General features: G+C 33.6%; 1 protein-coding gene across 1 annotated transcript in view; it reads left to right on the top strand.

Annotated features, from left to right (window-relative positions):
* Nucleotides 1–463: 463 nt before the first annotated feature.
* ADGRL4 (adhesion G protein-coupled receptor L4) overlaps nt 464–21733 on the top strand; it is a 116967-nt gene continuing 95697 nt past the window's right edge. The window contains exons 1-2 of the mRNA NM_022159.4: nt 464–561; nt 1975–2124. Of these exons, the coding sequence (NP_071442.2) occupies nt 540–561; nt 1975–2124 (172 nt within the window). The 5' untranslated portion in view covers nt 464–539. The remainder of the gene's footprint in view (nt 562–1974; nt 2125–21733) is intronic.

The raw sequence follows: 21733 nt of genomic DNA, 5'->3' as shown, positions 1-21733 counted from the left end.
TGGCATGCCCCTTTGCATGGATTCAGGTCTCCTGACTACTTCTTGACCCATTGTTCTTTAGGAAAATTTATTGGCGAGTATATTAAAAAAAAGGCTATGTCTTGAAATTTAGGTGTCAGAGAGAACCCCTGAAACCTACTGAGTTTTGGATGCTCCCTCTGGAGGGGCTCTCCGTGGATCTCAGAGACCTTTGCTTTTTAAGTACTCACTTTTAGGGTGTCACTCTGGGAGCTGCGCCTGGGGATAAACTGATTCCTCAGTGGGGCTGTAACATTGCTCAGGGTCAGTGGTCACTAGGCAGGGAATGGAGCCCAGGAGGCGTGGGGAAAGGGGATGGAGGCCGGACGTGGCCAGCGGATTCAGGGCTTGACTCACACACTCACACAAAAGAGGCCGGAAAGTGTCCGGAGGAAGCCGGCGCGTCACGGAGGACGGATCCGGGACCCTGCCGCGCCCGCCCAGCGGCGCCCGGTCCCGGGTCCACAGCCGCACTCACTCCGCCGCGCTCTCCGCCACCGCCACCACTGCGGCCACCGCCAATGAAACGCCTCCCGCTCCTAGGTGAGTGCTCAGCGCCCCTGGTCGCCGAGGTCGTCGGAGGGACCAATCCCTTGTAGGGGACTGGATTTTTTAAGAGGTGGAGCTCACATGGCAAGTGTATTTGGCAAAATCTCCGAGGAGAATTGATTTAGTACTTCTCAGGATGTTTTTCTCCTTGACCTTTCAACTCTAAAGTTGAATATTCCAAGGTCCAGGGAATGTTACCTTTTTATTCCTCTTGAGGAAGTGTCCAGCATCCCCTTTCACCTTTCTTCTGTTCTGCCCCGAAGAAATTTGGGAAATCCAGACCATTAACACCCATGAGAGGTTTCCTGGCATTTTAAGGGGATTGCCGGGCCAGATTTGAGCTTCATTTTGAACATACTGTGCAGAAAGATAGTAAATGACATCTCCGAGGGTGAACTAATTCCGGCTTAGTCAGTATACATAGTTATTTGCCACTGGGATTTAGAACAGAATACTTAAGAATCTCTTGGTACCTGATAAGGACAACTAATGTTAGATGACTGTTTTCAGAACAATGACCTCATGCTTCATAGCTGTTGGTCCTCAAGACTCTTGAGTAGGCCTGGTAAAACAATAAAAAAGGAACCGACTTTACTTTTCCTTATTTTTTCCTATCAGTCCACAACATATAATTTCCAAATGTATTTCAATAACTCTGATGTATAGTCTTGTTCCTTGTTTTGTTTCATTTTTTTTTGTTCACATTTGTGTGCTGTTCCATTTCTGGAAGATCAATCTTTGACTATAATCTTGAGTTTCTTTTTTTGTTTTTGTTTTGTTTTTAAATTTCCCCTAATGGAAAATAAAAACAGTGAAATAAATTTTATTATGAATAATTGAATTGAAAACAATTGAAATTGAAATTGAAAACAATTGAAATTGAAAACAATCATTAGAACACAGAAAAAAACAGCAAGTGCATCTGTTCTCCTAGATAAGATGTCATCTTAAAATAACACAGATTTGAATTTGCAAAAACCTGAATACTCAATTTACCTTCATTTCTACACAGGATTACTCCCAGAGGAGGGAAATTGCTTTACAATCAGGCAGTTCCCTTTCAAAGTATCTCACCTCAGAATGAAGGGTAACACTTAATCAACATGCTATACTGATCTGGGAACACAGTTTTTATTATAAAGCTGAGTTGTTTATTACATTTTAGTTTCATTGAGATTTACTTGATAAAGGTTGAAATTGGAACAAAAAAAGCCTTCATCTTAAAAGTAAGTTTTACTTACTTGCTTTTGTGCTGTTACTTAGCTAAGTGCTCTCTTGGGAAAAATTTATAATCCATTTATCTAAATAGAAAGAGAGGATAATTTATGTTTATTATACTCTAATTCAACAATGGGGAGAGATGTTTGTTTTACTTTTTGAAAAGGTGTATTTCTCTATTTTATTTAGTGGTTTTTTCCACTTTGTTGAATTGTTCCTATACTCAAAATTGCACCAAGACACCTTGTCTCCCAAATGCAAAATGTGAAATACGCAATGGAATTGAAGCCTGCTATTGCAACATGGGATTTTCAGGAAATGGTGTCACAATTTGTGAAGGTAAACAAGCTTTGTTACTTCTTTTGGATTATACTGTAAGATTAAATTCTGATGGGACTGCTTTTCTGTCCTCCAGAAACTAACTTGTTTTGTGTTATACTGTTTAATTTCATACTATTTAAAAAACGCGTAAGTAGCTAAACAGTAAGTTTGACTTACCATGTCAAAATTTATACTTGTTACTGATTTTAAAAGACTTCATGCATATCTTATTTTTTGGTGCAAATATTAAAGATTTCCTTTTAGCTCATGCTGGAGATCCAGGTGTAGAGGGCATAGTCAACAGCTTTGGGAACAAAAGAGTTCACGAAATGTATACTGCTATGTATCGCCTTCATATACCCTCTTTACATGATACCAAGTATATAAGTATTTTTATACCTATATGGTATATGATACCACATATACAGGTACTTGACCGCCTATATTTGGAGATGATATTAAGAGATTCATGGTTTTCTCATGCATACCCTGGGCATAGGAAATGACAAGAGAAAGAGAGAATTTTGAAAAGACGTCATCTTTTGAAAAAGTAGATTATAATCATAGAACTTCATGCTACTGTCCAGAGACAGAATGCCACAAAGCATCCTTGTAGGGTGCAGTTTAGCCCATTGATTTGATCAGCAGAACACCATCTGATAATCAAATTTACGTAATTTCGTGTCTGTAGTTGTCACCTCTACCCCAATCTTCCACTCCCCCAACACACTCAATCTTTTTAAATTCATTTTCAGTAAAATCTAGTTTTAACTGGATCCATAGACCAACGTCCTGTGTAGAAGAGAGAGAGAGAGAGAGAAAAGTACTAGGTCATACAAATTAGTTTTAAAATATAATTAAATAGCAAGTTAAAATTATAGCTGTGGGGTGTTATGCACCTAAATGTATTCAGGATAACATGAACTTTTTCTAATTAAGCCAGGATATTGTATATTGTTAATATTGCATGTGTTTGCTTACAACAAAAACAAGTTGTATCTTGTGATTGAATTATATAGGCTCTTTAAAAAGATTAAATATGCCGTGTTTAGTAAGACCAAACTTCATCATAATTAGGTTGAATATTTAAAAAATGTACAGCAAAGCTACAGTTCACTTAATGGTGCATTAAATCAGGCGCTTCTGCTTGTATAAACAGCCAGAATTTGTAATATACTATTTTACAAGAATTACAAAATTCTTTTCATAAATAATCTTAGAAATGTATTGTGTATTTAATTGAATGGCATTGTAGCAAGTGTAAAGTTGAGTGACCTTCAAAATACTGCATCTCACAAATTAATGTGCTTTTCCACTAATCATTACAAATTGTACCATAGTACTTCATAACCAGCATTACCTTTTTGTTATTTAGATACTTTTCAATTGCCATGCTTAGCATAAGTAACATAAAAAAATTTTCACATTTTGGACCTTTAGCAGCCAACCAGCTTATAATCACGTTTCTAATGATTTCTTTTAAAAACGCATCTTCCATTATCTAATGCAGTTGTTTTCCCCCTGCTGCCTAAGTCAATAACTAGCTAATAAACAGAAAATATTTTCCATTGGAAAAAAAAAATTCTTTAAGACCTTTTGGCCTGCAGTTTCTTTTCACACAGAACATAATTTGTAATGGGAATTTGTTTCTTTCTTAGGTTCATGTTAAACTTAAATTCCCTTTCTGTTTAAAAAAAAAAACTCCATATACACTTGTTTTGATGTTTATTATCTGAGATTTGTAGTGTCTTCTTAAAACTGTTCAAACAGTGGTTTTCATCTTTTTCACCTTTTATTAATTCACTGACAGGTTTTTAACCTTTTTTTAGTCAGGATAGTTAATATGCTCTTTAGAATTAAAACACTGTATTCCCAACTGCTGAATAGTCTAGGTTATATTTTGAGTTTTAAGATTCTTGTTGACATTTTCGTCTCTAAAGAGATTCCTCACCTTTCCTATCTTTCTCTAAGATTGGTATTATGTCAAGATGAAATGACTGGACAGGAGATTAGCTACAGAGGATGCCTATTTCTTGAGGAATCGAATTTGTTTTCTTTTTTCTGTCCTCAATATCGCCATTATCATAAAATTTGTCTCTCTCAGAGGTACCAAAGAAATGTTATAGTAATAACCCAACCTCACTAAACATATTAAAAGAGCAAGTTTTGAACAAGTAATTTATAATTTGTTTTGCATGGTCCTACAAAATAAGCTTTAATCGTAGTGAATTTATTTAATTTAATCATTTTTTAATTTCAACAGATGTTTATTAAGCACTTTGATCGTCATTATCATAATCACATCAACATTAGAATAGCTAATATCTACTCTCCTCTGAGTCCAGAAAATTAATTAACAGAGGCCTTATAGTCAAGCATATTGATTAAGAGTACAGGCTGTGGAATCAAACCGACTTGGATTCAAGTATTAGCTCTACCACTTGTTTGGTTGGTTGACCCTTCCTAATTCAGTTTATTCTACCTAACAGAGTCATTTCCTAATAGACATAATTTATCATGTAACTCGGCTACTTAATACCTGCCAATGGCTCTTCTTTGTCAACAGAATAAAGTCTAGGCCCTTAACATTCTGACTTAATTCCCATTGCCTTCTCAACAAATATGCCCTCTGATATATATCTGGCATGAAATTCTTGTAACTCCTTTAAAAATATCATACATGTTCAACTTCTAGGTTTCAGCCTATGAGTAAAGGGAATAATTAATGGCCAAAATGATTTTTCAAAACGTTGTATGGTTATAAACTAATATATGGGGGACATTTTTTCATGAGTAGCATGGAGTAGACAATTTGAAAACTTTTGAGATGTTTTGAGCAATAGCAAGCTGACTGTAATAAATGCATTGACTTTCAAGTTGTTACTTCTCATTTGGATGTATATGTTCCATTATTTGTTGAAATATAAATGAATAATTTTCATGCATTTATCTTATAAACATTATAAGCGGAATTAACGTTAAGTGGAATTCTTCAGAATTCCACTTCCAAAGGAAATTGCTAATGTCTCTAACCCTAAAGTAACAAAGATAAATCTAATATGTTACTGAAACAAATCCTAGAGGTAAACCAGCTTATTTAGAAAATATATTCATAATGCAATTATTAATGCAAACATTTTTTTAAATAACCATCACAAAGCAGAAAAACAATAATTAAAAGATATCAGTGCATTTTGAAGAAGAGACCAAGCTTTTTCCTCTATGATAAAATACCATAACTACCTTGAAAAAATGAGAAAAAGGCAAAATCATTTACTTATTTTAGCAATTACAATATTTATCGTATCCCCTTCATACTAGACATTTTCACAAAATGGTACCCCTAAGCAATTAGCATAACAACAGTATAATTTGCTTACCTAAAAAGATGGTCTGTCAGCTTATTTTTATCATATCCTAGTGGATTAAATAGTCTGCTCACCAAAGTTAGTCTATTTATTCACTGAGATAGTGTGTTATACAAATAAGCAAAGTTGAAGTTCACAAATTGCCTTAAAATTGTATAAATATGTATCTTATGTGAGAGCACATACCCAGAATATAGAGTTTATCAAAACTAACTGCTTCAGGTCCCTCTGGAGAAGCTATTTTTCATAGTAGCTTCTAAATATTTTGTTTTTCTTTCTTTCTTTCTTTCTTTCTTTTTTGTCTTAAGCATTTTAAAAATATTTGTTTTCAGTTTTCATCAGACATTATCAGCCTCTGGTAGTTCATCTGAAACTTTTCTTGTCCTTTTATTTTTAAGTATTGAAATTTAGGAGTAGTCAATTGAGTTGAGTAGTACCCGGACCAGCATTCATAATTCATTCATACCTTCCTTCCTCCCTCCCTCCCTCCCTCCCTCTCTCCCTTCCTCCCTTCCTTCCTTCCTTCCTCCCTCCCTCCCCCCCCTCTCCCTTCCTTCCTTCCTTCTGTCTTCCTTCCTCCTTCCCTTCCTTGCTTCTTTTCCTTCGTTCTCTCTTTCTTGTTTTTTAAATTACAATCCTCAAAAGGAGGTGGCTCCTGATTTTCAGATAATATTTAAGGATTATTTCAAAAATTACAAGTATATATCTCACGAATATTATATGTATGTTTTGCTTCATGTACAAGATATGTTACTAAAAATCTTAGGGAATTTTTACGTATCTCAGAGGAGCTTCTTAAATGAATACTACAGCAAACTTGAAAAAGTATAAACTCAGATGTGCTACTGGAGAGTCATGTATCAAATTTGTTTAAAGAGAGGTTTATATTTCTTTAGGGTTTCTGTATTAAATGGGAAATGTAACCTCTTTAAGAGATTATAGTCTAAATTAACCCAGGGTTTACCTTCCAGGATCATGATTTCTGTAAACTTCATTCAAATAAATAAAATATCTTGCCAATTTCAGAAATTCTTTTCTTTGTACTAGAAATATGACCTCTTTTCTCTCTTCACAAGAAAGGTTCTGCAGTAGAGATAGCTACCACAATAATTAGGTGGAACTTCCTCAAAAGTATCCACTCAACAATATTACACATTCCATCAGTATATAGAAAGAGGAAAATAAATCAATAAACCATTGTAAAAACTTTCTTTAGGTTAATATTTACTTTGAAAAGAGAAGGAAAGGGGCCTGTGTGATTTGAGTTTTGCTGACTAGTTCCACAGTTTTAAAACCAAAGACTTCGCTGACCTGGTTCATTAAGGTCAGCTTTACAGACTAAGTTTTAGGAATCATTTTTCCAAATCATCTTGTTTCATGTTTATCTAACAGGATAATTACCAAGAATTAATCAGGTACAACTAAGAAATTTCTTGAAATCTTAAAGTAGGGTTTAATATGAACATATGATTTTGGATTTTCCCAAGTAACCGATAATGAAACCTAATTAAAATTTTTGTTCAAGTAGAAGCCTCATTTATTTTTAATCAGTATTATCTAGATGGATTCATTGAATATTTAGAACCAGAAAAGTAATATCCAGTAACTAATAGGATGAAGAATGAAACTGAAATAATAAAAATGAACACACAGCTTCTGGGTTCTAATTTTAAGAATAAAAATGTTATGCAAAATTTTATACCAAATCAATCTTAAAGAAGACTTTGCACAATGTATTTTCTACTTATGCACAAAAAAATGCCTTCTGGGTTGACATTATTTCAATGTTGATTTTTTTCCCAAATTAAGAATACCATTTTCTGTTTATACTTCAGGCTCTACCATCAGTTTATAAAGTTGATAGGTAGGTAGGTAGGTAGATAGATAGATAGATAGATAGATAGATAGATAGATAGATAGATAGATAGATATAACTATAGATGTGTATCATATAATATGCATTAGTGATAAGGGATCAATGACAATAAAAATTGAATATGGTTTTCCTAGAGCTTGTGTTCATTTTGTATGCAAAGTGAACACGGTGACTGTACCATCATACATTTCCTGTTCTGCCATATATTTTGAAGCTGCTAGGAATGTAAAACTAAATAAAAATTGTATTCTATTTATTTATTTATTTATTTAAGACGGAGTCTCGCTCTGTCGCCCAAGCTAGAGTGCAGTGGTGCGATCTCAGCTTACTGCCAGCTCCGCCTCCTGGGTTCACGCCATTCTCCCGCCTCAGCCTCCCGAGTAGCTAGGACTACAGGCGCCTGCCACGACGCCGGGCTAATTGTTTGTAAAAAATTGTATTCTAAATGTGGATTATAATACATTTTAATTCCTGCTGCTTTTCCATGAAAATTCTGGTAGAAAGGTGACTAAAGAAATAGCAGAGATAGCACTTCCAATACTTCCCCCAAAATCACTGAGTCCAAATTTTGCGCTTTGTTTATTATAGTTCTACTCTTTTGTCAATATTTTAAGGTTGCAAACCTTATTTTGCAAAATTGATGACATTTCTGTTATTCTGGAAATGTCAGTTGTCTATAGTCCCAATTTTTAGGGCATCAGCACACTTCTTAGTAAACTCCTGGTTATTTTAAAAGTAAATTATCCAGTCTTGTACTTATCTGTGTTCCCATTATTTCTCTTCTTCCTTATTTACTCTCTTTAATTATTAAGTAAGTTTCAGGTTTGCAGCTTAATAAAAAAATTATATATTGATGTTGATTTTAGTGACTTCTGTGAGCTAGACACTATTCTAAGCACTTCACATGAATTTTTAAATTTAATTCTCACAATAGTTCTCTGAAGTAAGGGCTGGTGTTATCCCCAATTTATAGATTAAGTAATTTGCCAGAGAAAGTATATACCAACAATTGCCTCATATAACCCTCAAACTACTCTGTGGTGTAGGTTTGCAAATAAAGAAAGTGAATCTCATTGAGATAAAATGAATTATTTTGGTTCTACCCTACACCCATCTGCCTTTTCCCTGCTACATTATCAAAACAATCATATATATATATGAAGATATTTTAAGAAACTGGCTGGGTGCGGTGGCTGACGCCTGTAATCCCAGCACTTTGCTAAGCCGAGGCAGGTGGGTCACCATGTCGAGATAGCGACCATCCTGGCAAACATGGTGAAACCCCGTCTCTACTAAAAATACAAAAATTAGCTGGACATGGTGGCACATGCCTGTAGTCCAAGCTACTCGGGAGACTGAGGCAGGAGAATCGCTTGAGCCCAGGAGGCAGAGGTTGCAGTGAGCCGAGATCGTGCCACTGCACTCCAGCCTGGCAACAGAGCAAGACTCTGTCTCAAAAAAAAAAAAAAAAAAAAAAAAAAGAATCAGTGGAAGTTTTAATATCTTGATAAAATGCGTAGGTCAAGTACAAGAGTTTAACTCCTGTTCATCAATCTCCATCAAGATAAGTGAATTGAAAAAAAAAAAAAAGCAATGAAATCAGAGGGAGGCCATGAGAAGACCACAGATTAGAGTGAAATTCTCAAAGCAGCGTCAAATGCCACAAAAGGGGGCAGTTCAATGCACATAAAGAACCCTGCAGCAAAGAGTCTGGCTTTCCCCTGTGGTGGTGGGATCCTGTCCTCTTCCCAGAAGTGGAGAGAAATCTAGGTGATTGTTTGAGGCATTGTTTTCCAAAGGCTACACAGATTGGACATTCTATTCCTCGTTGTTTGTCTCCAGATAAAGTCAAGAAAATACTCTCAAAGAAAACTTGGTCATCTGCCTGGAAGCAACTCTTGAGACTGAAAATTGATGCCACCTTTCTGTCTTCTCCTTACTGATGTTACCTAGAATAATGTCTCAAAATTACTGTACCCACCTGCGTTTACAGAAAACTCTGAAATCTCTTTTACTTCAGAGATGGTAATGGCTAGCTGGCAAAATCTGGAGCAAGTTACCTGTGATAATCACATTTTTTTTTAAATTATAAATATGAGAGTCATTTAAAGATAGTCCAGTCATTGAGGAAAAGTGAACAATATAAACACCTAGATGAATAAATAGAAAAATTTGCCAGAGAAGCCATACTTTTAGGTTGAAGAAAACACTCTGATTTATATGCTCAAAGACATTCTGGAAAATTTTGCATCCAAACAATTACAAAAATTTAGAAGAGGCTTCTATGTACAAAAGAACTATCACACAACAAAAAAAAACTTATTACTTTGATATAACCTCAAAATTTTGCATGGCTCAACCTCTTCCACACTCTTTCTCTAATTCTTCTCCTTTCGTAGGAAGAGGTATCAAGATACAAAGCTGCTAAAATTGTCAGTAATGCAAGCCAGTGCCTAAAAACCACCATAAGATTGAGGTTAAAGTTTCCCATTCCTGGGTTTTCTGTCTTGCAAGGGTGGTTGCGGGATAGAATAGGGAAGCTGCAAATATTCAATTTATTTATGTATCTGTGGAAGATACACCAGGACAGCATTAGTCAAGATATTCTTGAGTGTATCACCTCAGTACCATTCCCCTTTTTATATCCCGATTTGACTTCTTTTAATCTTTTTTTTTAATCTAGGTCCAGACCTTTTTTTATATTCCTCCTGTGCTTTATCTCAAAGGTTAAACAAGGTGATCATCAATGTGTTTTCTCACGCTAACTGCATGGTTTGTCTGTGATTTTTACATTGAAATGTCATTAATGCAGTAATGGAGTCCATACCTGCTAATCATTGTTGCAGAACCTCTGCTTCATTTGATTGAACTCAAACTCATTTTGTGACTCACTTGTAACTTTTGTTGTTGCAATAGTGTAATCATCTCTTCCCTGTGTTGTGTGTTTACCCCAAATGATTTCCTGAATTCATTGGCTAATTTGATTTTTCCTGTGAAACAAACCTAAAGTATTTTTTCACCTGCTATAAAATATATTTATCTTCTGATAATTGATGAGATAATGTACAACAATGGGCTGAGAAATAATCATCCCAAATTGTAGAGCTAAAAAGCGAAGATGGAATATAAGAGAGCAAAATGGAAAATAAGAGAACAAAACTGAGAAACAGAGGATCAACCATGGAAGGCCTAATATTCATCTAATAGAAGTCTTACTGAAGAAGGATTCAGGCAAAATTTAGCAGAGGATAAAATAAAAGACATAAATTAATTTCCCAAAGCTTAAGAAAGTCATGAGCCTTCAATTAAAAGAAACCACAGAAGACCACTTATCTTCTATGGAATGTGCCTGTGCCTTCACTTCTCAGTTTATGTTTAAGGAATATCCATTGATATCCTGCTATGAAAGAAGAGTATAGTTTACTTCACAACCTGTCACTTTTATTTATACATTTAAGTTTTTTATAATCTTTATGTCCTTAAGTAGTAATGGAATATATTAGCTGACTTAACATCAGGCAGCTCCATATCTAGAGCCTAGGCTAAAAACCTACTCAAATCGTGAGAAGAGAGAAAGTACTTTTCAAAAGGACATTTGGGTGACTGTTATCAGGAGGATGAATAGATGCCATGCAGCCAGAAAGGCAAGTGACCACTGCAAGAAAGTTTCTGTCAATCCCTTCAGTTCCCATTTCTACATCCATCTACTTTCATTTAACCACTACTTTATCTTTTTCCTGAGACAAATTCTAGTCTAAAGTAAAGGGAAATTTATTAGAAATCTTGTGGTATATCATATTAATAATAAAATAATTTCTAGATTAATCTATTATCCTCCACGTTTTAATTATTGGACTCCTATTTTATATCTTATGCTCCAACAACCAAAACCCATCGTTACAAATTGAAATCCCCCTGGTATCCTATGCTCCAGTGACTAGATTCTCTAATAATAAATTTTAGTGTTTCTTTGCTAAAGTCTTCAAATTTGTTATGTATATTTTATCCCTGTCCTACTAAGATTCCCATCGTAAGTCACAAAGAGCATCCAAGCCTTAGTTTCCCTAAAATGAGCAGATTGGACTAATATCTTTATTGATGTCCCTACAAGATTTAAAGTTATTTGATTCTACTATTGTAATACATGTATTTGAACTGTAGTCATTTTCCAGTTCAACTAATTCTTGGGCAAATAGCCTTGATTTTGGACTCAATTTGAAAGATGAAAATGAAACAGATGGATTTTGATCTCTTGCCTGTAAGCTCAGTGCCCTTTCCACTTTATTACACAGTTGTGTTAAACTCTGATCTCTGGAGCTGGCATGACCAATGCAGGAGATGCTTTATCTACTCTTTGTACTCATCTCGTCTCCACTTATGACCTGGCACACCATGATACTCTTTCCTGATGAGCCAGGATGTGACTTGAAAGTTCTTCTGCCAATATTACCAGGCTGGTGCTACAAATCAGTAGAAGTTGGCACATAAAGGAAGCGTTTTTTCCATATTTTCTCTGGTGGTTTCCTCCCTCAGAAGGAATTTCTGGATCAATTTTCTGAGACCCCTCCTGCATTACAGTGCTGAAAAGTAAGACATTAAATGTCATATGATCAGTGAGAGAAGTGCTATACCGGGGTCACTTGAACCATTAAACGTAAGTAGAAGGCTGTTACATCCATGATTTTTATATTTGCTCTCCTATTGGGAAGGTTTAGTCACTGTGATGTGTGATTGAGAGTACTCCTTTGAATAAGATGGTGCACAAATCCATTTAAGGGACAGGAGGGTTGTAATTCATGTGATTTTATAATTACCACGTAACTAACAACTAAAACAAAATGGTATATAGTGAAACTGATCTTTGTGTTGCAATTCCAAAAGATCTTTGCTTAACGAGTGTTTATGTTCAGGAATGGTAAAAGTAGAATTGATCAGACAGGCAGTAGTCTCAGCTAGGAAGTAAATCCAAAAGCTACATTTATTCATTCTGAGGGTAATATATATTGCCAGGTATCAAAATAATTTTGCACCAGGCTCAACTAATGAGGCAGGATGATCAAATATATGTGTGCTCAGAGGACAAATTAGACCCTTTCAATACTGGGACTATTATAAACCTGGTTACTGTCCAAGACCAGATTCACATGCCACTTTCTTTGCAAGGCTTTAAAAAAATTTTATCTGTCAGTAATAATTGTTTGTTTTTAATCATGCTCTCTAAAGTAATTAATCCTAGTAATGAAAAAATAATTTCATTTTATTTTTAAACTGACGATGGACTCTGCCTGCTTTTCATTAGTGACTGGGAAATCCCAGCAATGACTACCCTTTTGAGGAGAATGGCTAGTTCTTATTTTTTATTGTAACCTTGGAAACTACAAAAATTCAGTCTGCAAAATGCGACAATTCTGGTTTGTTGATGCCCCATTTTATTGTTCTTTACCTATGCTGAATTTATTGAAAGACCGTGAATGGTATTTCTGCTTGCAAGAATCAAGCACTTAGATCTGATTGAATGTTATATGTTGTATAAGGCTGAAATGGGATTACTTCAGATGTAATCCCATCTCAAATATTTTGCTGTAAATACAGAGCATCCATCATAGCCAAATGAAAAATTTGCATAAATGATTAAACTCAGTATCATAAACTTTACATTGGTTTGCTCTGTAATATCTTTGTTTTCCTACTTCATTTTAAGGGATGAACTATGCAAGTCTGAATTTTCATTGACTTATTTATTGCTTTTGTGAACATTTTCAGGAATAAGGAAGTAACATTTCCTAAGACAGAGTTAGCTGAAATATTGGCACTAATGCCTTGTAATGGTCTGTTTTTGAGGCAGCCTTCAGAGTCCCAAGAATCGCTTTGCTACTTTCTTTTGGATCTTATGTATCAAATATGATTTTGATTTTTTCACAAAAATTCTGGGAAGTGTAAAATCACTGGCACTTAGAAAAATGAAATTTTTGGCCGGGTGCGGTGTCTCATGCCTGTAATCCCAGCACTTTGGGAGGCCAAGGCGGACGGATCACGAGGTCAGGAAATCGAGACCATCCTAGCTAACACAGTGAAACCCCGTCTCTACTAAAAAAAATACAAAAAAAATTAGCCGAGCATGGTGGTGGGCACCTGTAGTCCCAGCTACTTGGGAGGCTGAGACAGAAGAATGGCATGAGCCCAGGAGGTGGAGCTTTCAGTGAGCCGAGATCCTGCCACTGCACTCCAGCCTGGGTGAGAGAGCGAGACTCCATCTCAAAAAAAAAAAAAATGGAATTTTTGCTTAGAGTCATATTAGTACTTTAAGTTCTTTTTAATTACAAAAATGATTTTACTCCTTTTACTCCATGTGTTATTCATAATGCTTGTCTCACATTTATCATTCACTTCCAATGAACCAAACTTCATAAACACAACTTTATGTAGAGCTAAATTTATTCTTCAGTAAACTATTTAAGATGAGGTTTTATAGGTTTAATCATTTTTTATTTTAGGTGTAAAGGTGAAAGACTTTATGCTGTTACAATTTCACATTTTACAAAATTTATTTTGTTTATTATCATGCCCTAAATTTGATTAAAATGGAATGCATGATCACATAAACCAACTGGGAAGAAATAAAGTATTCCTTCTCTCTACAACTTTAAGTCATTTTATGAGAACTTTTGTATTGCCAATATATAAAGATTATAAATAAAATATTGTGTACATCCTCAAAAAATGCTTGGTTTAAATTAAAAAAACGTATTTTAACCCTCCTTAAGTGTTACTTTCTTCTAGAAAATATTATTTTTCTACTGTTAAGCAGTGTTACAATCAACTAAAATTTACATGTTTAGGAGAATGTAGAAAAAAATAACTTAAGAAATTCTAAATGTATTATCCAGGATAATTTTCTACTTCCTTTCTGCCCAAGATATAATTTAATATCCTCTGTTGTATCAACCATCAAACATCAATTGGTCTGAAGTTACATAGATTTGTATAGTTTGTTAGTCAGCTGTATGACAGAACACCACTGTACAGTATATATTATATAGCTTTTGTATAAAAGTATCAATCATTTGGATTGATAAAAAATGGAACAAATCAAATTTGTCTGGCATAAAAATTGTGATTTTTCTGCATATTAAAACACTGAGGCAAGATTATTGAAATATTCTTTTATCCTTAACTATTTGGTCCATTGCCATTGAGCATAGATGAAAAGCACCAACCTTAAATTATTAACCTTTTGTGTGTAGTTGTGAGTAGGATAAGAATGAGAGTATTAGGAGGAAAAAAAAGTTTTCATGGCTGTTGGACTATAGGGAACAAACTCTAACACTTGAATCTAATAGACAATATTTTATGTTCAAGTCAAAGAGTTTTCATTAAAAATGTGATTATGTTGAGTGTTATTGGTCAGACAAGCTCAATTCCTGAAAAGTCCTTTTGCATGGGATTTATTGCAAGGTAATGCTGTTTTCCATATTAACATGATTTTTCTGCAATCTTACATTCAGATACATAATTTATATTACCAAGAAATCCGGATTAGTGTACAGTTTCATAGATTCTCTTTATAATTGTTTAAAAGTTCCCAAATAAGTTGCCGAAAGACAGAATGTTAACTGTTCAAACTTTGTACTTATTTTAAGGAGGAAATTAACACTTTGGTCCTTTATTTGCCATGAAAGGAGATAATGACTTTCTCTAGGAAGATTAGAATCTAACCAAACATTGTAGTCTAAATATAGCATACAAAGTCTTGTGCCATTTGTGAAAATGCTATCAGGGAGAAAACCCAGTGACTGACTGACTGCACTGTATTTTTTAGGTACACAGATTTAATTTAGAGATTATGGTTTGAGAATAAAATTTACTGTATGAGTGTTTTTGGCTGATAAGAAATTGATTTTGTGACCTTGGTACACATTAATTGAAATATCTGGCAATGTGTATTGACTAGGTTAAAGGAACCATACATACTTGGAACCATATTATTCCTTCACACCGTACTAGCAAGTTAATCCCTTTTTGCCATTAGAAGGATGTAAACTACTTTTTGCTACTATGGGAGCAGAAATAATCTCCTTCTATTGAATAGCAAGTAGGTTTTGTGTAATTAACATTATACTTAGTTGGTTGACTATATTGAAGGTGAAGTCTTTCAATTTATTTAGGAGTTATATTTCTCACATATTAAATATACTATATTATATTTTCACATATTTCAAAGGTTATATTTATTAAATCTTAAATATGAAAATATGTGCTGATGAGCATATCGAGACTTAAAGGTTGTTATTTCAGTTATTCACTAAATTTTGGAATGTAATTTTAAAGAAGTTAGAATACAGTGAAAGTACTAAATTGTCAGCATTCTCCATACCTTAAGTGTTAGTTTATTTAACCGATATTAACTCTAATTGTATTTACACAGGAGAAAGAATTGCAGAAGATACTTAAAGCAAATTGTGAAATTTGTAAATTCTGCACAAAGAACGCCAAAATATGTACTTCCCATGAGGTTTTTGGGGCTTGATTAACCAGATAAGTTATCTATACAATAATTATCCAGACACATGCACTGCACATCTTCACTTATTCCTCTTTTGTGTATATAACATCAGAACCAAAATGTAGGTCATGCTTATCTAGCACTTCGTGCTTTTGGCCCTCTGAAGGACAAGAACACATCGTAAGTCTTAAAGAATTTAGTATTAAAAACATAATTGAAGTTGTATTTAACATTTACAACTAGCATGGGGAAGGAATGTGCTGCTGTCTTTTATGCATTTTTGATAATTAAAGTTGACATGTACCGGCAACTAAATCAGTTTTCATGAGATTGAACAGAAGCTGAGGTGTTTCTAACACTTGCTTGATAGTTTTGCCTTTGTGGCAAATTATTGATATTTTGAAATAAGAGAGTTGTATATCCTTTGTGTCAGAAAGGTTCTTATGCCAGATTTCCTGGTGCCGTATGGAGGATAAGTTCTGAAGATTATTTCTGGACCTTTATAAACACAGAAACCTATTGAGAATATTTTTTAAAAGTACAACAAATCTCTGTTGTATACACAATGCAGAAAGGCAAGCAGATGCTTGATTTTAGTGTTATGCTTCTTCAACTAATGTTATGTTCGCTGCAGCAGTTTCCAATGGAATATCATGTGGAGAAGAATGGTCTTTTAAATGTGTTTTGGTCTTTGAATTTCAGTTTATTTGTAGACAAATATATTAAAAAAATTTTCAGTAAAAGCATTAATTGTTGTTTTATAGTCAACAATCCCTTTATACTTCTCCTTTGAAAAAAATCAAATGGTTGCTTTAAGAATAAATAAGTATAGCGTTAATCTGAATTTAAGCAAGTCTTCAGATTGTAATCCATAGGAAAAATTGCATTATTGTGTTAAGAAAGCCAAACCTAAGTCTTATCAATTATTGGTGATAGCTTTTTAATAGAAGATTCCAGTGATTCCTAAATTGTGAACAGGGGACTTATTACTAGTAATGCCTTAATAATTCCATATCAATTTCTTAACTAATGAAAAAAATTTTTCTTCCAGCAGTGTTTAAAATTGGATAGAAATATGACACACTTAGAGAGTACAATTAAAAATAAAATTCTGAAGTATGACAAGTGTTCAAAATTAGATATCGAGTACAGATAATAAACATAGAAGGGAAAAATGGCTTGCTTATTTCAAAATAGTTTTGAGGATGAAGCACTATGATGGAGATCCACTGAGGTAAAAAGGATCCTCAGCTTTTTTGATTCAGAAATGAAATATTGATGATTTCAATCAAGATTGATCAAAACCTGATGAAAATATCCTGATAATCAATGGGAAGTAGAATTACAGCTTATTGTGAGAGTCAGGGCCTTGGAGGAAGCAGACTTTCTAAAGAAGGCATCCCTGGAATCAAACCCTGGTCCTGGCATCTACCAGTTTCTACATCTGTGGATTGTAAATAGTTTTATCAGCAACAAAATCATTTTTGAAGACTAAAGACGAAAATACAATTAAAGGACTTAGTTATAACCCCAGCCATATAGAAAGGCTTTAATAAGTGATAACTGTTACATTGTAAATCTGTCAATCACTTTTTGACAAAATTGTTTTTGATGGGTTCAGTCTCTTTCTACTTTCCCAAACCATTCAGGACACCTGATTAAGATCATCTAGGCTGCAAGATTCTGATGCTAGGGTTACATAGATAACAAGATGCTCTTCTGCTTTTCCCAAACTCCACAAACTACAACACATAACGGGCACTTCGGGACATACCTAGAAGAAGAACATATTACTCCCCATTCTTTACCAGTTTACTAATCTTTAACTTATATTTTTAGCTCACTGTGTCCAAAGGAAAAAAAACAAAATAAAAATTTATTTAATTATTAAAGTAAGAAAGTAAGCGTTCTTTAAAGAATAAGTTTCTTTAATTTCCTTTGTACCAATCACCTGGTCAGTATGGTGGATGACTGTATTTAAAGTAGAAGCATGTTTACAAAGACAATCTGTGAACTAACTTTTCCTAAATCATATGTATATCAATACATTCAATTATCTAAAAAAGATGGTTAGCATTGAAAGCATGCTATGATATAAAGTACAATACAAAAATAGATTTTAAAAGTATAAATTCTTGAAATAGTTTAATGTGAATATTATCAAAATTTGGAAACAAATATATTAATATCTGTCACAGTTTTCATTTCTTGGAAATAATGAAATTTACACAGAAATTGAATAAGTGTCTATATTATAAAATTTTAAATATTTTTGTTTGGCTTAACAAATCTTTTACTGAAATTAGTTACTTAAAATATACGAAATAAATGATAGATGACAGATTTTAGTATATATGAAGTTTCTTTTAATTATTATTATGAAATTTGTAAAAAGACTTGCAGAATACTTCGGCATAAAGCTTATTAGAATAGAGAAGTACATATATATTTTTAATTCTGGGAAAAATGGAAGAAAATTCATTTTGCAGGGTGGAAAGATTGAATAATTAGCACAACTTTGTTTGTTTTAAAGACGAATTTGGTGTCCTGCCTCTCAAGTGATTCACGTAATCTCCAGGTAGATTCTTAAACTTTGAGAAAAATCATGGATCTGTAGACTCACCTTGTGAGACATCACTTAGGATTTTCAATGCCTAGGAGAAGTGATGTGTGTTCATTGACAGAAACTGGTTGAGAGGGATGACTGGAATTACTCTGTCAGGGTTCTGTTCCATGGCTGTTGAGGCATTCATCAGTGTAGTATTTTATCTTGAACAAAGATAGATTTGTATGGAAATGTATCAAGACACCTTCATTCAGTTCAGCAACATTTCTGAGTTACAGTTTAATTTATGTTAACTGTAGATGATCTAATATTTGCTCATTGCATTTGAACCCTCTCTAGTTTTTGGAAACTTTTCCAATAAATGAAAAGTAGAGAGCTAAATATGAATTCTGTGAAGGAATCCTTTTGCAACTAAATCTCAACAGTATGTTTTCATAAAGTCAGAATAGATGTCTTAACTCTTGGCCAGAGGGAGAAACTCCTGCCTGGCTCTACTAATTCTAAACTTATTCCTATTTTTTTTCAAACTGTCATTTCAAATTAATTGTCAAAAAGCTGATCATCAACTTAAGTTTTCTAAAATGCCCTGAAATAAACTGTTTAAATTCTTGATATAATAACATTTGTTTTTCATTACTTTCATTTTGTAATTTGCCAAGAAAACAGTAGGTTATACCTTAAATTGCTTTTCTTTTAAGTATGTTATTTTAAATTCTAATACATTTTGCAAGTTTCCTACTAGTTGGTCAATATTCCTAAATTACAGAAACAAAAAAAATGCAGTGGCTATTTTAAAAATTTAAATAATGATGCAATAAATATTACTTTACTATAAATCTAAAAATTATGGTATGATTAGTATGTATTAAAAAAAGACAATAGAGCAATAAGATTGAATGTTCCTTTGGATAATTTCCCTTTCACTAATTTATGTCTCATACTATTTCTAAAGCTTCAGGGGTAAGGACAAAAGGGCAAATAAATGTGGCCTGTCTTGGAAAATGATAAGAGTCATGCAATATTGAAAAGGAAAAGATAGCAGCAAAGAAACTCTCCATATAAATTAATCAAGAATATTTGCCAGTGCCTGGAGTAGAATGCTGTATAGTAAGGTTCGAACCTAACTATTAGTGTTCCAATAACATACTTTGTTCTTCTACCAGCTAGATAACCATCATGGTATCCCTTATCAGCACTGACTAGACATTGTCCTAAAATTTTTCTCAGTACAGTGGATTGAGTAATAACTTCCAAATTTTTAGTTGTATTGGGAATCAATCTTATTTTAATTAATGGTGGTAATTTTTTTATCCTGATTCATGAAAATTATTTACACTGTACATCCAATGTATATACATTTGTTTATTTTATATTTACCCCACCTTACATTACAAAACACCCCAAACCAGAAATGTATAAGATATAAATAAATGAAGAAATGTTACCATTTTTACCTATATGTCAATGGATGGCTTTGCACACACTTTGGAGTGCGTTTCCCCATTGGAATTGGACAAAACTGCTATTGCTGAGTCATTCAATAAATAGTATATCACGATGACCTGTCATTTATATACTATGTAGCTATCTTAAATCATGTGTGGAAATTATAATTATTATGCTTTCAATTAGATAGTGATTTAGATATTGAGATTTGCAGGTACTTTTAACTAATATTCTTGGTAAAAAAAATTATCTGAGACTGAAAATTTACTACTTAAAATAGCACTGACATCTCCTTCCAAACTATCCTGTTTAAATGATACCATCGTGTCATGATTTATCTACTTTGTTTCATGACATACCTCGTTAGTTTCATGATATATATGCTTTCAAAGCATCTTATTGCTACAGAACACCTCCCTTGTGGTCAAATTAGTTTTTAGACTCTATCTAATCTTTTATCCAAGATACATTTTTACTATTTTTGATCATTTTGAGGTTTTAACTTAGATTATTTATAGTTATTTCAAATAGGACCCCAGCTACTCTTAGTTATGATGAGTGAATAACTGGGAAAATATTTTAATTTTAGTGAAAGCACAGTTTGCATTCCAATTTGAATGTTATTTTATAAGTTGAAAAATTTTACTTTTACCCCAACTATTCAAAAAGTAATGTATATTGCTTTTTAATTTTTAAAATATTTATTTATTTATTTATTGAGATAGAGTCTCATTCTGTCATCCAGGCTGAAGTGCAGTGGCTCAACCATAGCTTACTTCAGCCTTGAACTCCTGAGTTCAGGTGATTCTTTCTTCTCAGCCTCCAGAGTAGCTGTGTCTATGTACCAACACACCCAGTTAATTTTCTTTTTTCTTTTTTCTTATTGTATTTCATGGAGACAGGGTCTGACTCTGTTGCCTAAACTGGTTTTGAGCTCTTGGCCTCAAACAGTCCTCCTGCCTTGACCTCCCAAATGCTAGGATTACAAAAACATCAACAACTTGGTTGTAGATTTCACCGCCAAAAGACAAAGTCAATTAGTCATAGTTCTGCTGTATAAGAACTTAAATATGAATCACATTTTTTTTCAAAAGGCAAAAATGTTATTTTATTTTGTTTTTTATGTGATTGTTATTATTATTGTTTTTAACCTTTAGTTTAGGTCCAAGGATTCATGTGCAGGTTTGTTATATACGTAAATTGTGTGTCACAGAGGTCTGATGTACAGATTATTTTGCCAACAGTAAATAAGCATAGTACCTGATAAGCAGTTTTTCGATCCTAACCCTCCTCCCTTCTTCCACCCCCGAGTAGGCCCCAGTGTGTATTGTTCCCTTCTTTATATCCACATATACTCAATGTTTAGCTCCCACTTATAAGGGAGAACATGGCATTATTTGGTTTTCTGTTCCTGTGTTAGTTCACTTAGCATAATGGCCTTTAACTCTATGTTGGTGCAAAGAACATTATCTCGTCCTTTTTAATGGCTGCATAGTATTCCATAGTGTGTATATACCACATTTTCTTTATCCAGTCTACCACTGATGAGCATTTAGGTTAATTCCATGTCTTCACTATTGTTGTGAATAGTGCTATGATAAACATACGCATGCATGTATGTCTTTCACATGTCTTATATATTGCTTAAGCTTTCCTACCCCTATCTTTTGACATTTAAGAGGAAGTTGTTATATATAATTTTTGTCCCTGGTTTTCTGTCTTCATTTAGATGATAAATGAGAGATTATGCAATAGTTATTAACAAATCTCAAATTACCATTGGAGGAAATATATTATACCAATTGTGTAACAACAGTTAAAGGTCGAAATTAACATACTATTCTTAAATTGATCAAATAAGTAATAAA

Source organism: Homo sapiens, chromosome 1 (genome assembly GCF_000001405.40).
Source record: "Homo sapiens chromosome 1, GRCh38.p14 Primary Assembly".
Taxonomy (NCBI): domain Eukaryota; kingdom Metazoa; phylum Chordata; class Mammalia; order Primates; family Hominidae; genus Homo; species Homo sapiens.
This window is presented reverse-complemented; position numbering and strand designations above follow the sequence as displayed.